The sequence below is a fragment of the Homo sapiens genome, chromosome 4 (assembly GCF_000001405.40).
Source record: "Homo sapiens chromosome 4, GRCh38.p14 Primary Assembly".
In the NCBI taxonomy this organism is placed as follows: domain Eukaryota; kingdom Metazoa; phylum Chordata; class Mammalia; order Primates; family Hominidae; genus Homo; species Homo sapiens.
Genome location: NC_000004.12, coordinates 89,679,566 through 89,702,822, shown reverse-complemented (window position 1 = coordinate 89,702,822; position 23,257 = coordinate 89,679,566). Strand labels below are relative to the sequence as shown.

At 35.4% G+C, this 23,257-nt stretch overlaps 1 long non-coding RNA gene across 4 annotated transcripts in view, besides 5 other annotated features; it reads right to left on the bottom strand.

The window, feature by feature from the left end:
- LOC124900602 (uncharacterized) overlaps positions 1-21,318 on the bottom strand; it is a 44,628-nt gene extending 23,310 nt beyond the window's left edge. Inside the window, exons 1-3 of one of the 4 annotated variants that reach the window (XR_001741764.2) lie at positions 15,821-21,318; positions 11,418-11,538; positions 8,691-10,918 (exon numbers count right to left, since the gene is read on the bottom strand). This is a non-coding gene — a long non-coding RNA (uncharacterized LOC124900602). Of the gene's footprint in view, positions 1-8,690; positions 10,919-11,417 lie in introns of those variants that run through there. The other 3 variants (XR_938983.2, XR_007058465.1, XR_007058466.1) reach the window with 3 other exon arrangements.
- Positions 13,259-13,793: an enhancer, noted in NCBI's record as "NANOG hESC enhancer chr4:90610181-90610715 (GRCh37/hg19 assembly coordinates)". NCBI's record gives its function as "activates a minimal SCP1, AML or CMV promoter by ChIP-STARR-seq in primed H9 embryonic stem cells {active_cell/tissue: H9 hESC(primed)}" and the evidence as "EXISTENCE:reporter gene assay evidence [ECO:0000049][PMID:30033119]".
- Positions 20,908-21,407: an enhancer, noted in NCBI's record as "H3K4me1 hESC enhancer chr4:90602567-90603066 (GRCh37/hg19 assembly coordinates)". NCBI's record gives its function as "activates a minimal SCP1, AML or CMV promoter by ChIP-STARR-seq in primed H9 embryonic stem cells {active_cell/tissue: H9 hESC(primed)}" and the evidence as "EXISTENCE:reporter gene assay evidence [ECO:0000049][PMID:30033119]".
- Positions 20,908-22,135: a biological region, named in NCBI's record as "MED14-independent group 3 enhancer GRCh37_chr4:90601839-90603038".
- Positions 20,936-22,135: an enhancer, noted in NCBI's record as "MED14-independent group 3 enhancer chr4:90601839-90603038 (GRCh37/hg19 assembly coordinates)". NCBI's record gives its function as "activates an origin of replication core promoter dependent on BRD2, BRD4, P300/CBP and CDK7 cofactors, and independent of MED14, by STARR-seq in HCT116 cells {active_cell/tissue: HCT116}" and the evidence as "EXISTENCE:reporter gene assay evidence [ECO:0000049][PMID:35650434]".
- Positions 21,408-21,909: an enhancer, noted in NCBI's record as "H3K4me1 hESC enhancer chr4:90602065-90602566 (GRCh37/hg19 assembly coordinates)". NCBI's record gives its function as "activates a minimal SCP1, AML or CMV promoter by ChIP-STARR-seq in primed H9 embryonic stem cells {active_cell/tissue: H9 hESC(primed)}" and the evidence as "EXISTENCE:reporter gene assay evidence [ECO:0000049][PMID:30033119]".

Below are 23,257 nucleotides of genomic sequence, written 5' to 3'. Positions count from 1 at the left end.
ATATAAAATATATATGTGAGAAAATTGCATTTTTATTGAGCATAAAATCTAGAATTAAAATTTAGGTTTTGCATTTGTGGCTCTACAAAATGGACTTGCAGCTTTTCCTCACTTGGCTAAAAGGTGGCAGCTAAACTGTACTCTGTTTTATAGGTTTGAACTATGATAGTTATTTGAGGTAGATTACATTTCCCCAAAATTTCTAAAAATACAATCTTTGCTGTTTTAATGCTCTTTCACAGTATTACCACTCCTCATTAAGGTGTAAAGTCTATTTCTCCTCCCCATAAAATTGGGCTAGCCTTTGTGACTACATTAAAAAAAAATGAAATATGAGTGATGCCAAGTGGCTTTCTAGTCTAGGGCACTGCAGCATAATAGGTGATACTGCTTCCACCTGGCTCACATTCTCTCTCTCTCCTCATCTTTGACACCCAGCCACCATGTTGTGAGGAAGCCCAGGCCACATGGAGAGGCCATGCCATGTGTACATGTTCCAGCTGACAGCCCCAGAGAAGGACACAGTGCACAGCCAGGAATAATTTCCAAGTAAGTGAATGAGCAAGCACTTAGCCACACAAAAGATACCAGTCCCCAGGCCACAGGCTTCTGTCCAAATGCAGAAGTTATTCCCATTCTTCAGTTTCCAAGTTTGATGTTCATTCTCAAAGAAATTTTCTCTGAACTCTCATATTCTATTAAGTTGCCCTTTTATATGTTATTATAATGCCTCATGAATCCCCTCCATAATGTATATAACATGTAAATATATGTCTACTTATATAATTATATAATTATACAAATCTAATTTGTATAATAATTTATATTTGTATAAAATTATTCATTATGAAATAAATATATATTTATATTCTATATATATCACGGAAGAGCTGTATCTTTCTGGTTCCCCATATGTACTCAGTTTTTTAACTTTGACATTTGGTAGGCCCTCAATACATATTTATTGTGTAAATTAATTGTTACTCCAGTGTTACTTCTAAGGGACTCAAGTTACAGTGGTTTAAGAGTCCCTACAGGCTCAGAAAGACTTTGGTATTTGCACTCTACTAGATTGGTAGGGGATGGTAGAAGACTGTCTAATCAGCATGGTTTTCAATTTTGCATTTATGTCTTCATAGAAAAGTAAGTGTGATTTTGTTTATTTTATAGAAATAAGGAACTCATCTGAGCAGATTTGATTGTAAAATTACTTTTCCTCCCTTGGAACATATAAATGACTCCTTTCAAAGTGTCTCTTCTTTCTGTGCTGTGTTCTGCCATCATTTATTATTCAGAAAATGAGGCTATCGTGTAAAAGGCAGAAAAGAAAGAAGGGAGCCTGGAAGATAGATGCTGCAAATTTAATCCTGGCCAAATGACCGAGGGGCGGGGTGACCTAGACCTGGATATGTTTTAAATCTTCCCAGGCCTGTGCCTCTGTAAAAGATTGTAAACAAAGTTTTCCTGAGGAAAACAAAGGCATATAATGTACATATATTTCTAGTGATATATGTGGCACAATGTAATGCTATGTGAAGCAATGATAAAGATCTTTGAGATCTGTTTCAGGGGCAGCATGCTAAATAGTAAGAATAAGTGCTGTGAAGTCAAGCAGAACTTGAACCTGATTCTTCTGCTTTTAGCTGAGCCTTGTCTTTAAAGTGGTGTATAATTAGAACTAAATGACATAAAGCATGTAAAACACTCCATACAGTAAGCTGTCAAAAATTATACTACCTTTTCCTGAATAATACTAAGAAATTAAATAGTGAGCTGTTTTTTATCTTAACTGAATCAATGCTAGTATTCTGGTTGTAATATTATACTATACTTGTGCACTATATACGTGTTACCACTAGAGGAAACTGGGTAGCTGGTACATGGGATCTCTCTGTCTTACTTTGTACAACTGTGTGTGAATCTACAATTAGCTCAAACAGTTTAATTTTTTTAAATCTAGACTGAGAGGGAGAGGAATCTCCACTCAAACAATGGTTCAGCTGAGAGAATCTTTAGAAATTCTATTATTCAAGCTCCATCACTTCACAAATGATGTAAGGAAGCCCAAAGATATTAGGTGATTTAGGCAACACATAGTCACCAGCAGAGCTGCAAAAAAACATATGATGTCCCAGTTACATGTTGCTTTTATAACACAAATTTAAATATATTTTTGAGGAGAGACCCTTGGCATCTAAGTAGCCTTTTCTCTTTTAGCTCCGGAGTTGCTTGCATTTTGTATCTACAGCCTTTTACAAAGATGACTATTTTTTTCTGGGCAATATTTGTAGTTCTTTATACTAATATAGATTTTCACAAAATCCTTTCATGTAATAATTTAAGAAAGTATCTGTTGATAAATAACCTTGATATTGGGTGGCTGGGCATGGTGGCTCATGCCTGTAATCCCAGCACTTTGGGAGGCCAAGGTGGGCGGATCACCTGAGGTTGGGAGTTCGAGACCAGCCTGGCCAACATGGTGAAACCCCGTCTCTACTAAAAATACAAAAATTAGCTAGGCACGGTGGCAGGCACCTGTAATCCCAGCTACTTGGGATGCTGAGGCAGGAGAAACTCTTGAACCCGGGAGGCAGAGGTTGCGGTGAGCCAAGATCATGCCATTGCACTCCAGCCTGAGAACAAGAGCGAGACTTTGTCCAAAAAAAAAAAAAAAAAAAAAAAAAAAAAAAAAAAACAAGAAGAAGAAAAGAAAAGAAAAAGAAATTGGGAACAAGCTTGAATAAGGAACTAGAATTTAGGATTTCTGCTGTCAGTTTTCTCTTGCTGCTCTTTGACAGAAATGCCTTTGAGAGGTTGTATGAATCAGGTCTTACTGTCTATAGAAAAGAATAATGTTGTAGCTAATAATATATCCATCACATCTTTTTTGAAACATAATGGGAAAAATTCAACATTTATAAATAAAACACATTGCAGACATACTAATTGGAATATCCAGTATGAAACATTATACAGGGCTAACGAGGCTTTTGGGTAATGTCTTAAAGGACCCCAGACATCCCCATCTCAAAATGCTCTACCTCTTTGATTGGCTTTTTTTTCTGTAACTTTGCCATTATGTTTTTATTCCTATTGGTTGCATAAGTACATTTGGATGTAAACACTTCAAAAGAAAGCTTTTTGTTACCACTATTTTATATTGCCTCCAAACAGAAAACTAGCTGAAACCAACATTCTGAGATGATAAGAGATGGGATAACTAAATTCTGTAGAAGGAAACATTAAGCCATGATGAGAAAGAACTGGTCTTCATAGGCCACTGCAGTGGGAAACAACACAGAACGCTTCAGTTATGGTGGGAGGAAGACAGTAGATAAAATAGGGAGAGAAATATTAAAAAGGTTTAAGAGAAGACATCTTAGAAATACATCTTACTACTTTACTGTTTTGTCCAATGTATTTCTTAATCAGCATAATGATATTAACAGCACAAAGACAGCATTTTCCCAGAAAGTGTACTAATGAAATTTAAATGAGAAAATATAGAAATGGTTATTTATATAGTAAAATTAAATTATTCATAAATGTTAGGTGTGACTTTTATCAAAAACATGTTAAAGTTATTAAAATTGACATGCAAAGTGATAGGGACATATAGGATATAAAATGTTCATACCCACAAGAAATCATCTGTGTATACTAAAGGAGAATCTGATAAATATGTTTTAGTGCTTTAACTGTAAGTTCTGATATTAGAATGAAATTTGAATTTTTCTACCAGTTGACTGAAAGTTCCAGCTAAAATAATATATGTATATTTCTCACTTTTACAAAAACAATTAGATTTGTTTTCCATGCTCTTGGCTGTATTCTAGGATAGCTCTACATGAGTATGTCACCTCAGCCCTCAAGAGATGAATCAGGCTTAAAGTTAATAGCACACACACAGTTAAAGATGAAAAATTGATGTTGTTTCAGTATAGATACAATCAAGCCACAGTTTGGATTCTATTTGAATTCACTGAACTTAGTAATACATTAGAAAATAGAAAAGTATTTTTTATGTTTCTTTCTTAAGTATGTATAATTTTTTATTATTCAGAATTCCATATCTGAATTGCAGCCATTATTTGAGGAAAGTGGGTGTATGACACTAATAATTTTCTTAGTGTTTGTGACAATGTTAACTGTTTCTCTGAAATGGATGAAATCTCTAAAATGGTGGGAAAAATACTTAGGGCGCTGCTTCTACTACTACGGTTTCTTTAAACTTTTTTTTTAATTATGAAAAGAATAAAACTCTAACACTGCAGAAGAGCAAAACATGATAGTATCTTTTAAATTTCAACTCTCTCTAAGGTTAACTATTATATAATATTATTGTAAAAGTTTATCGAGCATCCTTGAAAGCCTATTTCTTCCAGTTACAAAAAATACACACAGATTTTACAAATTGCATTAGTCCATTTTTGTATTGCTATAAAGAACTGCCCAAGATGGGGTAATATATAAAGGAAAGAGGTTTAATTGACTCACAGTTCAGCATGGCTGGGAGGCCTCAGGAAACTTACAATCATGGGGAAAGGTGAAGAGAAAGCAAGGACCTTCCTCACAAGGTAGAAGGAAGAAGAAGTGCAGAGCAAAGGAGGAAGAGCCCCTTATAAAACCATCAGACCTCATGAGAACTCACCCACTATCATGAGAACAACATGGGGGAAACTGCCCCCATGATTCAATTACCTCCACCTTGCCATGTGGGGATTATGATAATTATGGGGATTATAATTCAAGGTGAGATTTGGGTGGGGACACAAAGTCTCACCATATCACAAATGCACACACATACATACACACATAATATACTATTTATATTGTTTTGTTACTTGCTTTTTCACTTAATAGGTTATGTAAATTAGCTAACTATATTTGTCAATGTTATTTAGAATATTTCCAATTATTTGCTGTGCATGATAAAATAATGTTATGAGTGTCCTTTTATTATCTTTCTGTACATATGTACAAAAATGATGATAGCTCACTAAGAAATAATGTTCTTAATCCATTTTTAACTTTTTCATATATTGCCACATTTCTCTCTATAAAAGCTGGACACATTTACGCTCCCACCAATAGTGAACCAGGGCCCATTTCCCACATAACTAATTTAAACCTCGTAGACCAGTTCTGCTCAGTAGAATTGTCTGCATTGATGTAAATATTCTGTATCTATGATGTCTAATATAGTAGCCACTAGCTATATATGACTACTGAGCACTTGAAATTTGGGTGGTACAATTAAGACATTAAATTTTTAATTTTATTTAATTTAGATTTAAAAAGCCACATGTGACTAGTGTTTACCATATTGAACTGCATAACTATACCCGGAATGGGATCTGGTTTATTTACAAGCTTGATAATCTTTTATAACTTTTAAAGTGGTTTATTGTTCAGTATCAATTATTTAACCTAAGAAATTTTGCCTGCATATTTCTGCTTTTTTGCTACTGTATTGTGTCTTTTATCTTATTGACTTACAAGTAATATTTTCCTGATATGCTGATTTCTACTGGATGTTTATTAATACTTAATCTACTATATAGGATGCAAATATTTCATTCTGGGCTCCTATTTATTCATAGATATTTTATGCACTTGGTACTATTGTGAGTTACATATTTGTTTTTCAGTATTACCTGGTTGGTAATGACTTGTGTACATGAAAACTATTGGGTTTTGTATATTTAGATAATGTCTTGTCAATTCACCTACCTAAGCTATTAGCACTAACTTTTGGGGGGTTTTCATTAAAATTATTTTCTAATAAACATGTATTTTTAAATCATTGTTTGAAAATAATTGCAGCTTTGTGGCTTCCTATGTAATAATTATATCTCTCTTTATTTTTCTTTTACTGGTCTGACTGAATGCACTAGAAAATCCAGAAAAATACTGAATGATAACAGTAATATGGTAGTCACAATTCTTGTGTTATTTAATATTAATGGGAAACATTTGATAGTTTATTATTAATTGTGATATATATGTCTCTTTCTATAAATATCCCATGTAAAGATGAGGAAATCTAATTTCTGCATTAACATTTAATCCATAAATAAATTCATTAATAATTTTTAAATGTAAAATCAGTTTAAATTATTGGTATATTCATTATAAGCCCATCAACACTTTTTTATAATTATTGCTTTTCGCAGTTGCCTTTTAAATCAGACAGAAGAGTTACTAATAAAAATATATTTATAATGTTTTATATTTATTTATGTAGTTAATTTTAACAGTAATTCTTGTGTCTTATGTGAATTCAAGTTGCTCTTTGGTATCTCTCATTTCAGCCTAGAAAGCCCCATTTAGTAATTCTTTTAGGGCAGGTCTGCTAGGGATTAATTTTTCAGAATTTTTGTCTGGGAATTAATTTTCTCTTTATTTTCACAGGAAAATTTATTTGGGTATATAATTCTTTATTGGCAATGATTTTATTACAACACTTTGAAAATGTTATTCCATTTCTGGCCACCATGGTTTCAGATAGAAAGTTATTTTATTGATCACTTATAGGTGATGAGTTGTTCTCAAAATTCTCTCTTTGTCCTTGGCTATTGACAATTTTACTATGATTTGTCTAGGTGTGGATCCCTTTTAGTTGATTCTATTTTGAGTTCCTTAATCTCCATGCATGTGCAAATTAGTGTTTTTTATCAAATAGGAAACAATTTATACTACGATTTCTTCAGATATTCTTTCTGCCTCTTTCTTTCACTCCAATCCTTCTGGGACTTTATTATGCCTATGTTGGTGTGCTTGATGATGTCCCACATATCCCTGAGGCTCTGCTCAACTTTTTTCATTCATATTTCTTTGTGTTCCTTAGAATTGATAATCTCAATTGATCTATCTTTAGCTCCATTGATTCCATCTTCTCCCATTTCAAATCCGTTTTTGAGTCCTTCTAGTAAAATTTTTATATCATTTAATTTTTAAGTGCATTATTTCTACTTTACTTTAAAATTATTTCTACCATTTTATTGATATTTTCTATTTGAGATAGTCTCATATTTTTATTTAATTTTTTAAACATGGTTTCCTTTAGTTCTCAAAGATATTTATAATATCTGATTTAAAATCTTTGACTAGTAAGTACAAGGTCTTAATAGTCCAGTAGCCTTTCTCAGGGATAGTTTCTATTGACTATTTATTCCTCCACCTCTGCCCCCCAACACCATATATAAAGGGCATACATCTATCTCATTTATTTGGGTATCTCAAGATTTTTTATTGAAAAGTGAAGCATTTAAAATAAACATATTGTGGCAACTCTGGAAATCAGATGATAATAAGGCTTCCAGGACTTGCTACTGTTGCTATTTGTTGTGCCTCTCTTTGTTTATTTTTCTTTTATTTATTTGTGATTTCCTGGACTAATTCTGTCAAGTCTGTATTCTTTAATTTAGTCATCAGCTAGCGATTGGACAGGGATCTCCTTACATACCTTAGACCAATAAGTTTCACAGCCTTTGCTGACCGACTCTGTGTTTATGTTCAGGAACATCTTCAACACTTCAGATAATTTACAGTTCTGCCTTAACCTTTACTTTTGATTTTACAGCAACTAAAGGTCAGCCATAGGTGAGCAATTAAGACCTTCTCCAGTGTTTTCTGTACATGTTCAGCGTCCTGCACATGCATGTGGCCTTCTAGATTCCCAGGAATGTGTGGAGCTTTTAAATATCCTCTAAAGTCCTTTCATTCCCCAGTTTTTCCTTTTAAGTTTCTTAGCCACTTATTAGCCCTAAATGGGATCTCTGCTTAAGGAAGCTGTCTTGTTAAACAATTACCAATAGTTGCTTTAGACACACACCTGGGAATTTGGCTATTCTCACAGAGAAAGCTCTAAGTCAGGCCTTTATCAAATAAAGATAAACCTGCCACACCTATAATTCTAGCACTTTGAGAGGCTGAGGTGGGAGGAACACTTGAGGCTAGGAAATTGAGACATGCCTGGGCAAAATAGCAAGACTCCTGTCTCTAAAAAAACAAAAAATTAACTAGGTGTTGGTCAAGCACATGTAGTCCTAGCTACTTGGGAGGCTGAGGTGGGAGGATCATTTGAAATTAGGAGGTCAAGGCTGCAGTGAGTCATGATCATGTCACTGCACTCCAGCCTGGGTGACAGAGTGAGACTCTTTCTCTAAATAACTAACTAAATAAAATAATAATAAACCTTGAGAATGAAGTTTTTCAGGTAGCTTCCACACAGGTCAAATGGTCATTTCGCATGTGGATTTGGGTGATTTCTAAACCCTTCTTCCCATCCAGTGACTGCTAGGCTGTTGTTTCTCAGTTACTGCGAGTGTAAATCTATTGGTCTTAAAGGATATCATGAATTTGAATGGGCATAAAGTAAGTTCAAGCACCACAAAGCTCATTGTTACCAAGATCCAATTATTTTTCTAAAATAAAAGTTCCTCAGATTGTTGAAAAGCTTCAGTTAGTTTCCAGAGTTCTGAAAAAGTTGATTTTGACTTTTTTTTTTTTGCCAGTATCTTCATTGCTTTTATGGAGGAGGAGTTTGGGGAGGGTTTTACTACAACCTTCCCTTCTCCTTTTATTTTAAAACAATTATAGTGGATTAGAAATGTGTCTAGGGATTGATAATGAAATGTTGTATAATCAACAACATTTATATTTAACAAAATAAAGTTCAAGGTGAATTATAGAGAGCCGAAATATTTTATTTTGATTAAATACATAATAGTTATGGTCTTGGTATTGCAAATAACATGTCTTGGAAATGTTTAGATGTAGAGAGAGAAATAAACAAAGTCACAAGGTCGAGGCTTTAACATACCACTCTAAGAAATAAGTACACATAGCCAAAAACAACATACTATTACAGTATTATACAGTATTCTGACACAGCTAGGTTTCAGAAATCATTATACTTGACAAAAAGGATAATTTACATTCTTTTTAAAATCCCATGTAACAATTACAAAAATCTCTTTAGTAACAAAGAAAATCTCTAGAAATTCTCAAAAGTAGTCTTTTAATGCATGGCATTTTCTGAACACAATAAAACACTAGTTGATAGAAAAAAGACAGAAAAAGGAATAAAACAAGCCTACCTAATTTGAAATAAGCACTTTTCTACATAACTCAGATTAAAGAGAAAACCAAAACTAACAAAATTTTTAGAAGACTATTACTATTTTAACTTTCAAGAAAACTATGTTTTCAAATAGCAGCTATTATTATTTTGTGGATACATTAATTTCTTTACACTCCCTGAGGATACAAATTTCAAATAAATATTGTCCTATTTGTATTTCCTCAGTCTTAAAAGCAGATTTTTACAGTCCAAAATATTATAATATCTATAATCACATTTCCCAGAGGCAACCATTTTTGGCACGATTTCGTGCTATAGTAGTTATCTCCTTAATTATGAATAAAATAACTATATTTCTATTTCATGGTTTAACAATTTTAGACATTATGTACTGTCTCCTCTCTTGGAAAGATTAAGATTTACTCACATTATATACTGTTTCTTCTTGCCTTTGTCATTTTTACACTTGGTATTTTATTTTTAACACCCCTTAATTAATTTTAAATAATATTCCTAAGCCATTCTTTCTCATAACAATAACTTTAGTATATAAACTACCCACTATGTAGTAGGTGGATATTATATCATTTTTTTCTCATCTCAGACTTCTGTGTAGATACCTTCATTATCATAATGTCAAAAGGACAATAAAATTATATTCAATCTATCTGTGCTTAGTAAAAAATTTGGTCAAATATTCAAAACCAACAAACTGTAATTTCTTTAAATTTTTTTAATTTTTAATTTGTGTGGGTATATAGTAGGTGTATGTATTTATGAGGTACATGAGATCTTTTGGTACAGGCATACGATGTGTAATAATCACATCAGGGTAAATGGGGTATCCGTCACCTCAAGCATTTATCCTATGTGCTACAAATAATACAATTACACTCTTTTAGTTACTTTGAAATGTACAAATAAATTATTTTTGACTATAGTCCTCCTGTTGTCCTATCTAATACTAGGTCTTATTTATTATTTCTAACCATTTTTTTGTACCAATTAACCATCACTAACTGCCCCCCACCACTCCTCCTCCTAGCCTCTGGTAACCGTCTATCTGTTCTCTATCTCCATGAGTTTGTTTTGACTTTTATATCCCCAAAATAAGTGAAAATATGTGATGTTTGTCTTTCTGTGTCTGGCTTATTTAACAACATAATGATCTCCAGTTCCATTCATGTTGTTGCAGATGACAGAGTATCATTCTTTTTTATGGCTGAATAGCACTCCGTTGTGTATATGTACCACAGTTTCTCCATTCATCTGTTGATGGACACTTAGGTGGCTTCCAAATCTTGGCTATTATGAACAGTGCTGCAACAAACATGGGAGTGCAGATGTCTCTTCAATATACTTTTGGGTATATACCTAGCAGTGAGATTGCTGAATCATATGGTAGCTCTATTTTTAGTTTTTTGAGGATCCTCCAAACTGTTCTCCATAGTGATTGTATTAATTTACATTCCCACTAACAGTGTACAAGGGTTCCCTTTTCTCTACATCCTTACCAGCATTTTTTATTGCCTGACTTTTGGATAAAAGCCATTTTAACTGGAGTCGGATGATATCTCATTGCAGTTTTGATTTACATTTCTCTGATGATCAATGATTTTGAGTACATTTTCATATGTCTGTTTGCCATTCGTATGTCTTCTTTTGAGAAATATCTATTCAAATCTTCTGCCCATTTTTACATCAGATTATTAGACTTTTTCCTATGGAGTTGTTTGAGCAAACTGCAATTTTGTTCACTTCTGAGCCAAGTAGTGTACTAGCATTTACCTTTCCTTCTCAATAAGCCCAATTCTATGACCTCTGTGACAGCTGAAAGTATCAAGTGCAAATAGATTATTCTTACACTCTGCTGACCACTCAAAATCATACCACATTTTACTTTGCTTAATATTAGGACCATTATTTTAGTATGGAGCTTTTAGCTTTCTCCTAGCATTTCTTACCTTTCTTTTTGTTGTGGTTAACAAAATCATATTTTTTTGCACCATATCCTCAGAATTAGCCAGCGTTTTATAGACCTTTGACCAAAAAATTATGATCTGGTTGTGTTTCTCTTTTGTGCTATTGACGTCTTACAAATGTCTGGTAGTCATTTTTTTCCTTGTTATAAATTGAGAATTCTATTGTCCCTCTCTACCTAAATCTGTTTCCCTAGGTGTTGCCCTCTTTTTCCCTCCCCTCCCCAGAAAGAGTGTCTCCATATGTCTTGGTTAGACTTGGACTTGAACTCCTAGGCTTAAGTGATCCTCCTACCTCAGCCTCCTGAGTACTCCTGAGTAGCTAGAACTACAAGCACATGCAACCATACCTGGTTTTCTTTTTTCAAAGGAAGAATATGCATTCTCTGGAAGCATGGGGAAGATGTGAATTTGCAGGTTTTATTTTAGAAGACTCATGGGGAGGTAGCAGCCAGTCACAATGACACCCACCTTGTGGCGAAAAGAAAAAAAGAATGAATTTGTATTGCCTCTTCTGCAAGGCATCTTGGGAAACTACTAATTGGAGACCACTTTACATTAAATTTTAATTTGAGCTTTTTTAGGCCCTGCAGGTATTGTGAATTCAAACCTATACTGGAAAGAATGACTCCCACTTCTGCTGAAATCTATTTCTGGGTATTGTTTTGCTTCTCATTGCCTTGTTCAATTTTTACCTTTGTGTGTCATTTGATTTAAGTGTAGTTCTTATAAACAACTAATTACTGTTCTTTGTCTTTGACAGGGGAACTTATCTAATCATAATTGTAATCATAATATGTTTAAACTTTTTGCTGCCATCGTGTGTTATGTCTTCTTTTGTTTGGGTTTTCAAGTGTCATTTAAAAATACTTCCCTGTTTATAACTTTGTTACTTCTTTCTAATGATTTGCAAATTCTGTATCTTATTTCTCTTATTTTATTGGTTGTTCTGAAATTCGGAACAAAATAATCAATCCATTTATTTCCTAAGTGTCAAGAATTAATCATTTGGCTTTTGATAGTTTGGAATTTTTTATTATATTGTGGATCCTTTGTTTAATGAATCTTCTTTTAAAAATTATATGGCCAGGCACAGTGGCTCATGCCTGTAATCCCAGCACTTTGGGAGGCCGAGGCAGGTGGATCACAAGGTCAGGAGTTCAAGACCAGACTGGCCAATATGGCACAACCCCATCTACTTAAGATATTTTGGGCTGGGCGCAGTGGCTCACACCTGTAATCCTAGCACTTTGGGAGGCTGAGGTGGGGGGGATCACCTGAGATCAGGAGTTGAGACCAGCCTGGCCAACATAGTGAAACCCCATCTCTACTAAAAATACAACAAATTAGCTGGGTGTAGTGGCGGGTGCCTGTAATCCCAGCTACTTGGGAGGCTGAGGCAGGAGAATTGCTTGAACCCAGGAGGCAGAGGTTGCAGTGAGCCGAGATTGCGCCACTGCACTCCAGCCCAGGTGACAGTGTGAGACTTCATCTAAAAAAAAAATTATATTAATTTTTGGAGTGGTAGCCTCAATAATTATTTAGAGTTAAGAGAAATTTTTCTGGTCTCTTTGCTCATCACTGTTTCTTAAATTCAAAACCTTTATCTCCCTTGGTTTATAATTATCGTTTTTTGATAATGTATCTTCAAGGCAATTTTATGGGTGTGATATGGTTTGGCTGTGTCCCCACCCAAATCTCATCGTGGATTGTAGTTTTCATGATCCCCACATGTCATAGGAGGGACCTGGTGGGAGGTAATTGAATCATGAAGGTGGTTACCTCCATGGTGTTCTTGTCATAGTGAGTGAGTTCTCATGAGATCTGATAGTTTTATAAAAGGCCATTCCCCCTCACATGCTCTCTTGCCTGCTGCCATGTAAGATGTGCCTTTACTCCTTCTTCGCCTTACACCATGATTGTGAGGTCTCCCCAGCCATATGAAACTGAGTCCATTAAACCTCTTTTTTAAAATAAATTACCCAGTCTCAAGTATGTCCTTATAGCAGTGTGAGAAGGGATTAATATAGAGTGCCATCAGTAGTTAACATGGCTGTAGAAATACAACTATGCTAAAGTCTTACTTAAAATTCATAACTACAAATCATACATAGGCTCTTAATGTTGGTCTGTGATCATACCACATGTCCCTAGTCTATTTACTCTCCTATTCTTCTAGATGTGTGCTGTCCAATAAGGTAGCCATTATCTATATGCATTTCCATTTCCATTTAAATTAGTTAAAATAAAATAATGTTGTTTCTCAATTCCACTAGCCATGTTTCAAATGTCCAATCACCATATGGTGATAGTGGTCATGCTGGTAGGCAAAGTAATGGCCTCCCAAAAATGTATGCATTCTAATCCTGGAACCTATGGATATGTTACTTTACATGACAAAAGGGACTTTATACATGTGATTAAGGTTAAGGGCCTTGAGATGGGAAGATTATCCTGGATTATCCACAAGGGTTCCAATCTAATCACAAGGATACTTAAAGTGGAGGAGGAAGACAGAAGAAAAGATCAGGGTAATGAGCTGTGAGAACTCAACATGCCTTGCTAGCTTTGAAGATGCAGGTAGGGAGCCACAAGCCACGGAATGCAAATGGGCTCTAGAAGTTAGATCAGTCAAAGAAACAGATTCTCCACCAGAGCCTCCAAAAAGGAATGCAACCATGCTGGCACCTTGGTTTTAGCCCAGTGACACCATGGTGCATTTCTGATCTACAGAACTACAAGATAATAAATTACTGTTGTTTAAGCCACTATAGTTGAGACAATTTGTTGTGGTAGAAATAGAAAACTAATACAGCTACTATTTCAGATAGTACAAATATAGAACATTTCTGTCTCTGCAGGAAGTTCTATTGGACAGCACCAATTTATAAGATTTTAAATAATTGAAGGTATAGTAAATGGAGTCCTCATTCACTTTTGGTAATCTCTCTTTTATATATGTTCACTTTCTGGAATGATCTCATCTAGGCTCATAACTTTGAATAGACAACAATAAAAGCTGTTGATTCCTAAATTTATATCTCTAGTTTGGACTTCTGACTCCAGATGCATATATACACAACTGATCATTTAAACGTTCCAATTAGGTAGTTAATGGGCATCTTAAACACAGCATGTACAAAACTGAACCCCTAATCTCTCCCAGCATAGACTTGCTTTATTTACATTATTTTCATCTTAGTTAATAATAATTATGCCATTTTCAATTTCTCAGGAAAAACACTAGAGTCATTTTTGACTTTTATTTATCTTATAACACTCATACAACCTATATCAAAACTCTTTTTGACTATATAAAAGATACAACTTAGGAACAGCCCATGGAAGAGAAGCATAAAGCAAAGAAAAGGGGGCAGATACAGGACCTTCCAAGCCCTCTTCAGGCTTGCCCACCTCACAGCTCCTCTGTTGATATGTTGGCCAACCCAGAAGCTCTCTGAAATCCACGGTTTAGGGGTTTCTATGGAGACTGCGTTATGTAGGCATGATATTGATTAAATCATTGGCCATTGGTGATTGAACTCAATCTCTAGCCTGTCTTCTCTCCTCAGAGGTCAAGGAGTGAGGCTGAAAGTTCTAGCCCTCTAATCATGTCATAGTTTTTCTGGTGACTAGCCCTCATGCTGAAGCTTTCTAGGGGCCCCCAACCGCCACTCTTCTCATTAGCATACAAAAGATACCCTATTACTCCACAAATTTCAATTTCAGTCTTTTGGAACTATATGCTGGAAACCAGAGTCCAGTTTATTTTTTATTTTATCACATTCCATCTATAAAATATATTCTGCATCTAATGACTTCTCATCACTTCCATTGCTACCACCTTATTCCAAGCCACGATTATCTTTATCCTAGATGATTGTAATAGCCCACTCTATTACAAACATATTCCAGGGTAATAACAGAACCTACTCTAGGGAAATAATGGAAGCCAATTAGTCACAACATTGTTAAATACCTGAAAGAACAAACAGAAGAGTTAGGATAATCCAGACATTAGTTATTATAGCCAGCTGCTACCCCTAGAGATGGTATCATGGGAAACCAAAAGCTGAGATCACCCAATACAAATGGCAATCACAGTAGCCTGCCCAGCAGGGACTGGCCATGGGGCACATGTGGCAGTTGCCACAGGCACAACCCAAAGCAATCAGAGAGAGAGAGCAATGCCCCAGCTTGTCCCTTCTTGGTGCCCTGAACTTCATGACAATGCTTCTTTTTGACTAAATTTAGTTTGAAACCAATTAGCAAGGGAATCTGGGAAATATATTTTTTAAGGATTAGACCTCTAAGATATAGATGTAATTAGAGGAAGGGCAGGGAATGAATTTGGGAGAAAACAGTTGCTTTCTAATTTGTCTCCCAGCTTCCATTATAGCTGTCTATCCACCACCACTCTCCAGTACATACACATTCTATTCCAACAGAGGAGGCAAAGTGATCCTTTTAAAATAAAGACAAATTATTTCACTCTAATGGCCCAAATTTTATGGTTGTCTTCCTGTCTTCCAGAGTAAAAGTCAAACTCATCACAGTAGCCTACAACATCTACATGACCTCCCTCCCATTTCACCTCTTTGACCTAATCTGCTTCTTTTTCCCTAACTCAATTTTCTCATGCCACAGTGACCAGCTTGCCACTCCTGGAGGGCACCAGGAAGCTTCCTAACTCTGGATCTTTCCAGCTACTCTTGTTCCTTTCCTCTAATATCTGCATGGGTTACTCTCTCACCTGCTTCAAGCCATGCCCAAATACCAGGTTTTCACATTAAAGAGCTATACTTGAGCATCACAGCAATGTGCTGACAACACGTAACAAAAGCTTCCTGTAAAAGAACTGAAATGGAAGAGATATTTAGTGCTCAATGCTTTTACTGATGCTGTTGTTTCCTTATATTAAACTATGCTAACTTAACACATCTTTGTTGTCTTCTATGATTTGATATCTAATGAAAAACATTATGCTATTACATTATTATCAAAGCTATAGCTGTAAAAAGAATTTGAGCAGCCAGATATGAAAATGCAGATGACACCCCAGAATATTTATGTTGTTGATGTTGCTCAATACAATTCATTTCATGGTTCAACTCAGCACAATATCCTACTTGAACAAAATAATAAAGAGAAAAATGCCAAATAATAGAGGAGAATGTAGTAGACTCTAAAGCAACAGTTTAGTTATTACACCAAAAACAAGTGCTATCTGAATAAATCATAAACTTGACAGATTTTGACATGAAGGAGCTAATCTAGTAGAAGAGTCATAATTCCAAGTCTCTCTCTTGTCTTTTTTTATTTCAAGGAAATTTTGATTGAATGCCAACTGAAGCACTGAGTTGCATGCTGCAAAATTTTGGAAATATTTGTTATTTTTTCTCAATAAAACAGTAAAAACAAAGTAGTATATGATCTAAAAGTAAATCTGCTAACAAAGCAGAAACCAACCTGTAAGCACTTCTCTGCCTCATGCCTGTCTCACACTATATAAGTAATCTTTTACCTGAACGGGATATTAGCTACATCATTGCTTTTAACCAAGATCTGTTTTCTTCAGTGTTGACATGCATTTAATTTTCCTGGCCAATGAGAAGTGTGGCTAGGAAAACTGAAAAGGGTATCAAATATGGCCATTACAAATATGGCCACAATCATCACTCCTTTCCTTATCCATGCCATTTTCCATTGATTTTCAACTTCTCCCATCAAGAGATGGAGTCTGTTTCTTCACATCTTTATCTGGGCTGGCCTGGTAAATAGAATGTGGTAGAAGTGACAGGATGCTATTTTCAAGCCACGAACTCAACGCCCTTCTGTGTGACTCTTTCAGAACTCTGCCACCATCATGCCTCTCTTCTTCATGTGGTTTCTCATCCACCATCAGTCTAAACCAGCCAGCAGCAGACCCTACATACATGATCAGCTCAGAAAAAACATCCAGCTGAGCTCAGTCCAGACTGCCAGTTTGCAGATATGTAGGCTAAAAGAGGAGCTGCTTTAAGCCACTATGTTTGCGATTGATTGTTACGTGGTAATTATAAGGTAGCATCTTGCTTTGCTGAAAAGTAGAGAAAAAAGATACTGATTTCATTTTGAATTGCAGCTTGAGTTTTAACTGGAATAAGCAGAAGGTCCCTTTGGAGTCAACAGATTAGATAAAAAGAGTTGGGTTGTTTGTTCCTCCTAGTGTTTCCTCACTAATCACAGTTCTAGATACCAGTGGCTGGCACTCATGCACTACGTAGTGGTACAGGAAGTCCATCACCCTTAAAGCAGAGGAGCTCTGAGGGCTGAATGGGCATTTCCAAATCTACTCAGACACCTAAGAGAAAAACACCATGTTTAATCACTGTCACACAAATGTACTACATTGATTGTCAACTTTTGTTTGATTAAATCACTCTTTTGTGGAAAAGGAGGCTAAAATTCTTATGGCACAAAATTGGCTCACACAAACTAAAGGACAAAATATTCATAAATCACACACCACAACTAGAATTGAATTATTTTGGTCATACTGAGTAGAAAGAGAAGTCCCTTCTACACAGTCCTCAGACTGGTATATCATTGTTTGGGAGGATAGGAGATGACTCTCCAGATGAATCAATTCTGAAAACAAATGGACTGGACCAGTTCGAACCTCACAGGAAGAGCCAGTATAAAGTATATGGGCATCTAATGAAATTAGATGAATGTAAGAAATACTGGGAAAACAATGATAAAGAAGGCAAAAGGAAATCACCTACCCAAGCACCTATTGTTTCTAGATTTATCATTGGCAGATATGTGAAGTCACCCAAAATATCTTCTTGATACTGACTAAAGTCTTCATTTCACATGTGTCCCCTTACTACACAATTCAACTATACAAAATCATTCTGGAAATCAAGTCTATCATGTACTAATTAACTCATATTTACATGTATCACTATGTACTAAGAATCTTCATTATGTCAGGTCATGATAAGGATTCAAAAATGAGTAAGCCATAGACACTGTGTTACACAATATATGGGGGATGTTGGTAAAGAAACACTTTAACATAGCTAACAAAAGGTAGAAAATAGGAAGAAATGACATTAATAGAAAATGGCGATAATCATTTGAATTGGACCCTGAAGGACAGCCAGGATTTGAACATGAATAACAGTGGCATGGAAGAAGATGAAACCTAAGATGAGACAATAGCTTGTTTCTCTTTGCAGAGAGGAAAATATATTGGGTGGACTTGGCCAAAGCTATTACATTAGTAAAGCTTTTCTTGGGAGGTCCTGGCCTCTTGTTGTTGACCTAAGAAGGTAAGAAGAAGGAAAAAAGCATTAGCATAGGAAATGAACTATATTTAGGACTAAATTATATAGAAACATATATCCTTGCTTCTGAAATATAAATCAGTGTGTACTTTGTAACTTTTCAAATGAATATTCATAACTTAGAATTTATTTTAATGACATTTTAGTCATATCTCAAGCAATGCACACGTTAATTTTCCTTTGTCTGCAACTTTATTACTCCATTGGAATTACTGGATTTTGCTACCCTTTTTGTTCTGTGATACAATTAGTCCATGTAGATTTGTTTGTACTTACCTTTAGCCTAGTAAATAATGTGGATTATGGATACCTTTAGTGTGCCTGATTTTGTTCTGAGTATATTTTTCTCAGATAATTCAAAAGTTATCACTTTACTGACTGACTTGAATTCCTTCCTAACAAATCTAAATGCCTTGTTTGTGTTTTTTGCTTCTTCATCTGACTATTTTCTCTCCTCTATCTTATGTTTTCTTTTTTTTTTTTTGTCCTCCAAATTTTCCTGTAGCAAAATGAAATTGTTGTCTCCTATCAGATTATAGCAATCCTGGCATTATTATAAAAGATTTCCCTTATCTAATTGGAACTAAGAAGTGATATGTTTTAATCTGAGATATTTCTAGACTGACATAAAAAGTAAAGTTTTGAATTTGGCTATATCACTTAACCCATAAACAAGCTTAGTACACCTTACTTCAGATTCCTTATGAATAAATTCTGACTTTGATAGAAAAATTAACACAAGTTTATTGTATGTTTTGTGTGTCAGAAATTGTGCTACATGATAGAAAACACACAGAAACATAAGATTCTCATAAGGCTAAGGACTATGAAATATAAGGAAATCAATAAAATTAGCCAAAATGCCTCATGAAAATGCAAATCATGTTTTAAATGCTAAAGAGAGCTTCATATTAACTGTATAGAACTTTATATTCCAACACATTATGAAGTGATCAACAGTGAAGACAGAATATTGTCAAACAGACTCGATTTCCCTTTTAGTGTTTTCCAAGCACGACTACATAAAAGTTATAGTTCTCCAGTAACCAAGATGCTAATGTTTACAAAATTCTTTTCTTTGTGTCTCATTGCTGTAGAATAACTTCTTTCTTCAGCATTATTGTTGGCATTCTTTGATATCCATGAAGGCCTCTTTTTAAAAAATTTTCTTTTATATTTTTCTTTCTTCAAAATTAAACAGCAGGGATAAGTAAAAAAAAAATCTTATACCTTAGAATTTTGACAGATAAGTGCAGGATATAAAGGGTATGCATAGGATTTAAAATGTAATGGGATATGTGGAAGACTATATAGAGGCCTGTGACTATAACCTAATGCATGGTGCTGTGGTCTAGGAATTACCAAGGCCCGGAGACTCTGGGGAGATAATCCTTATCACTTGTACCTCACTAGCTAAGCTCTGTATTATGCAATGTAGGTGGAAGTATGATAAAGAAAAGGGGTAGGCTTTGGAAGTGATTGGAGAAAACACTGTAGTGATGGCCAGATATAATTGTAGTAAAACTTTACCTGTTTGAATTGAGCTTGGAAATAATAGTTCAGACTATTTGCTTGGTGACAGAGATCAGGCACTACGAGGTTAATGAAATATTTTAAGACTTTGAAAGACAAACTGGTTTTTATCTTCTTTTTTACTTTAGGTCCTATAAAGTTTTTACACCAAAGAGCCATTACTACTGTATAGGGAAAGAAAAACAAGACCTTGCCTTTTTTGGTAAAGCAAGATGGATAAATTATTTTGAAAAATAAATATTTACCTACAATTTTTGAAAATCATGAATTTATAGTTTCCATACAGTGTAGGATGCACTAATCTGATATCACATTTGTGATTTGTCTAAATGATTACTATTTAGAAGAAAAACATGTTTATCTCAGTTTTTATAGTCTTTGCTAAGATTTAAGGTATTTGTAATAAAAACTCTTGGTAACCTCTTAAACTTGTAATGGTCATGTAGCAAAAATTTGCTACAAACATAAACTTGAGATCAGCAGTAAGACAAGAAGGACCATCCCCACAACTACTATATCACAAAGTACTGGAGGCCTTATCAAATTCTATGTGAAAAGAAAAGAAAATGAGTTACAAAATCTCGAAGAGAAAGGCCAAAATTGTCATTATTTTCAAATGAGGTAATAATATGCCCAGAAAAAAAAAGAACAAGAAACAACTGATAAAGTATTAAAACTAAAAAACTGAGGGCAGCAAGTTTACCATATTCAAGATTAACCCACCTTGGGAAACTCTTCAGAGATGCAACAAATGGGAGAATTCTTGACCAAGGAAATGGAAATCATACAACAATATGTAATTGTCTTTAAATGTGTTATGCAAACATCTCAAAAACATAAAGATGAAATAAAATCTACGCAACAAGTACTGAAAGTTACTAAACAAAAATAGTAAAATATGAAAAGAACTCTTTTAAAAACATAAAAATGAAAAAATACTATTACAAATGAGAAACTCAAAGGTTGAAATAAACATTTGATAACATGGCTGAATATAGAATTAAATACTGAAGTATAGAACTGATGAACTAACTTAGAAGGCAGCACAAGACCTAGCAGATAGAATTATATGAAAAGGGATCAGTAGGGTCCTTGGCAAGGTCAGTTTGTTTTTTAATTCAGATTTATAAATGTTTTTGTGAAATGCCCAAATACTAGGAATAAAGAGAAGGTCATAAAAGCAACCAAAGAAAACAAACATTACCTACAAATGATGCAGGATTTTTGCTCCAGAGTTCAACTAAAATCCGGGTTCTTGTCTAACAACCAGGAAAAATTAGGCACGCAGACACCTTGAAAGGTAAGGATGGTGGCATTTAGTAAAAGAAAGCTCTCAGCGAAAATAAAAAGAGGGACCTGCCAACAGGCTCCCAGCTCACAGACTGAATATCAGGCCACCACACAGGAGCTGAAGAGGCCAGACTCCTCCCCGGGCATCAGGCGTGAATTCCCGGTGGCTCCACCCCACTCTCCCGGTACGCAGGTGGGCCCCCGGTCTGCTGTGGGCATGCCCAGGCAAAGCCCTGGGCAGGTTCCCTCATTTGCACAGAAGCATCTAATGTAAACACTTGTGGGGCAGGTCAGAGATTCTCTGGGAACCCTCCCTTATCTGCCTCTTGCATCTATCACAAATAGATAACATCTCTATGAGTGTTCTCACTAGTAACACAATGTCCTAGAAGTTATATTTTCAAACTTTAGAAGGGAAATGATTGTCAGTATAGAGTTCTGCACCCTAATAAACCATCATTCGAGAGTGAGTGTAAAATATAAGTATTTCAGATACTGAGTTTTTGATCACATGTACTAACTGAAAAATAACTATAGAATGTACTTCAGGAAAAAAAAAAAGATCTCAAATAAGAGTAAATATTGAGAAAAAAATTATTCAAAATAAGCAGCAAAACATGTTCACAAATTTAAATAAGCATTGACTATTAGAAAAGCTGTATTGTGTGCTTAAAACAATTTGTAACAAATATTCCACATGTGATCATGGAAGATAGGAGCATGATTTAGTCCAGAATGTAACATCTCTCTGCTTTGAAAGAATACAGACTAACTGGTTCTAGGTAATATTAGAAAATATAAATATGATATATAAGTGAAAAAATGTTGAGTTAACCCTGAAAGAATAGAATTAAGTACATTACTTCTAAACTTATAAAGAAAAAAGAGGGGAATAGAAATGACTTCATTGGATCAATAGAATATAGGGTAAGGGAAAAAGGGACAGAAAAAGTGAGAGGTGAAGCCAGCTGGGCTTCTGGGTTGGGTGGGGACTTGGAGAACTTTTCTGTCTAGCTAAAGGATTGTAAATACACCAATCAGTTCTCTGTGTCTAGCTAAAGGTTTGTAGACACACCAGTCAGTGCCAATCAGTGCTCTGTGTCTAGCTAATCCGGTAGGGGGCTTGGAGAACTTTTCTGTCTAGCTAAAGGATTGTAAATGCACCAATCAGTGCTCTGTGTCTAGCTAAAAGTTTGTAAACATACCAATCAGTGCTCTGTGTCTAGCTAATCAGGTAGGGGACTTGGAGAACTTTTCTGTCTAGCTAAAGGATTGTAAATGCACCAATCAGTGGTCTGTGCTAGCTAAAGGTTTGTAAATACACCAATCAGCGCTCTGTGTCTAGCTAATTGGGTAGGGGACTTGGAGAACTTTTCTGTCTAGCTAAAGGATTGCAAATGCACCGATCAGCGTTCTGTGTCTAGCTAAAGCTTTGTAAATGCACCAATCAGTGCTCTGTGTAAAAACGGACCAATCAGCACTCTGTAAAATGGACCAATCAGCTCTCTGTAAAATAGACCAATCAGCAGGATGTGATTGGGGCCAAATAAGGGAATAAAAGCAGGCCACCTGAGCAACCCACTCAGGTCCCCTTCCACTTTTTCGAAGTTTTGTTCTTTTGCTCTTTGCAATAAATCTTGCTGCTGCTCACTCTTTGGGTCTGTGCCACCTTTAAGAGCTGTAACACTCACTGCAAAGGTCTGCAGCTTCACTCCTGAAGCCAGCGAGACCACAAACCCACTGGGAGGAACGAGGAAGGAGGAACAAAACAACTCTGGACGGGAGGAATGTACAACTCTGGACGTGCCACCTTTAAGAGATGTAACACTGCAAAGGTCTGCAGCTTCACTCCTGAAGCCAGAGAGACCACGAACCCACCGGAAGGAACGAACAACTCCAGAAGCGCCACCTTTATGAGCTGTAACACTCACTGCGAAGGTCTGCAGCTTCACTCCTGAAGCCAGCGAGACTATTAACCCACCAGAAGGAAGAAACTCTGGACACGTGAACATCTGAAGGAACAAACTCCGGAC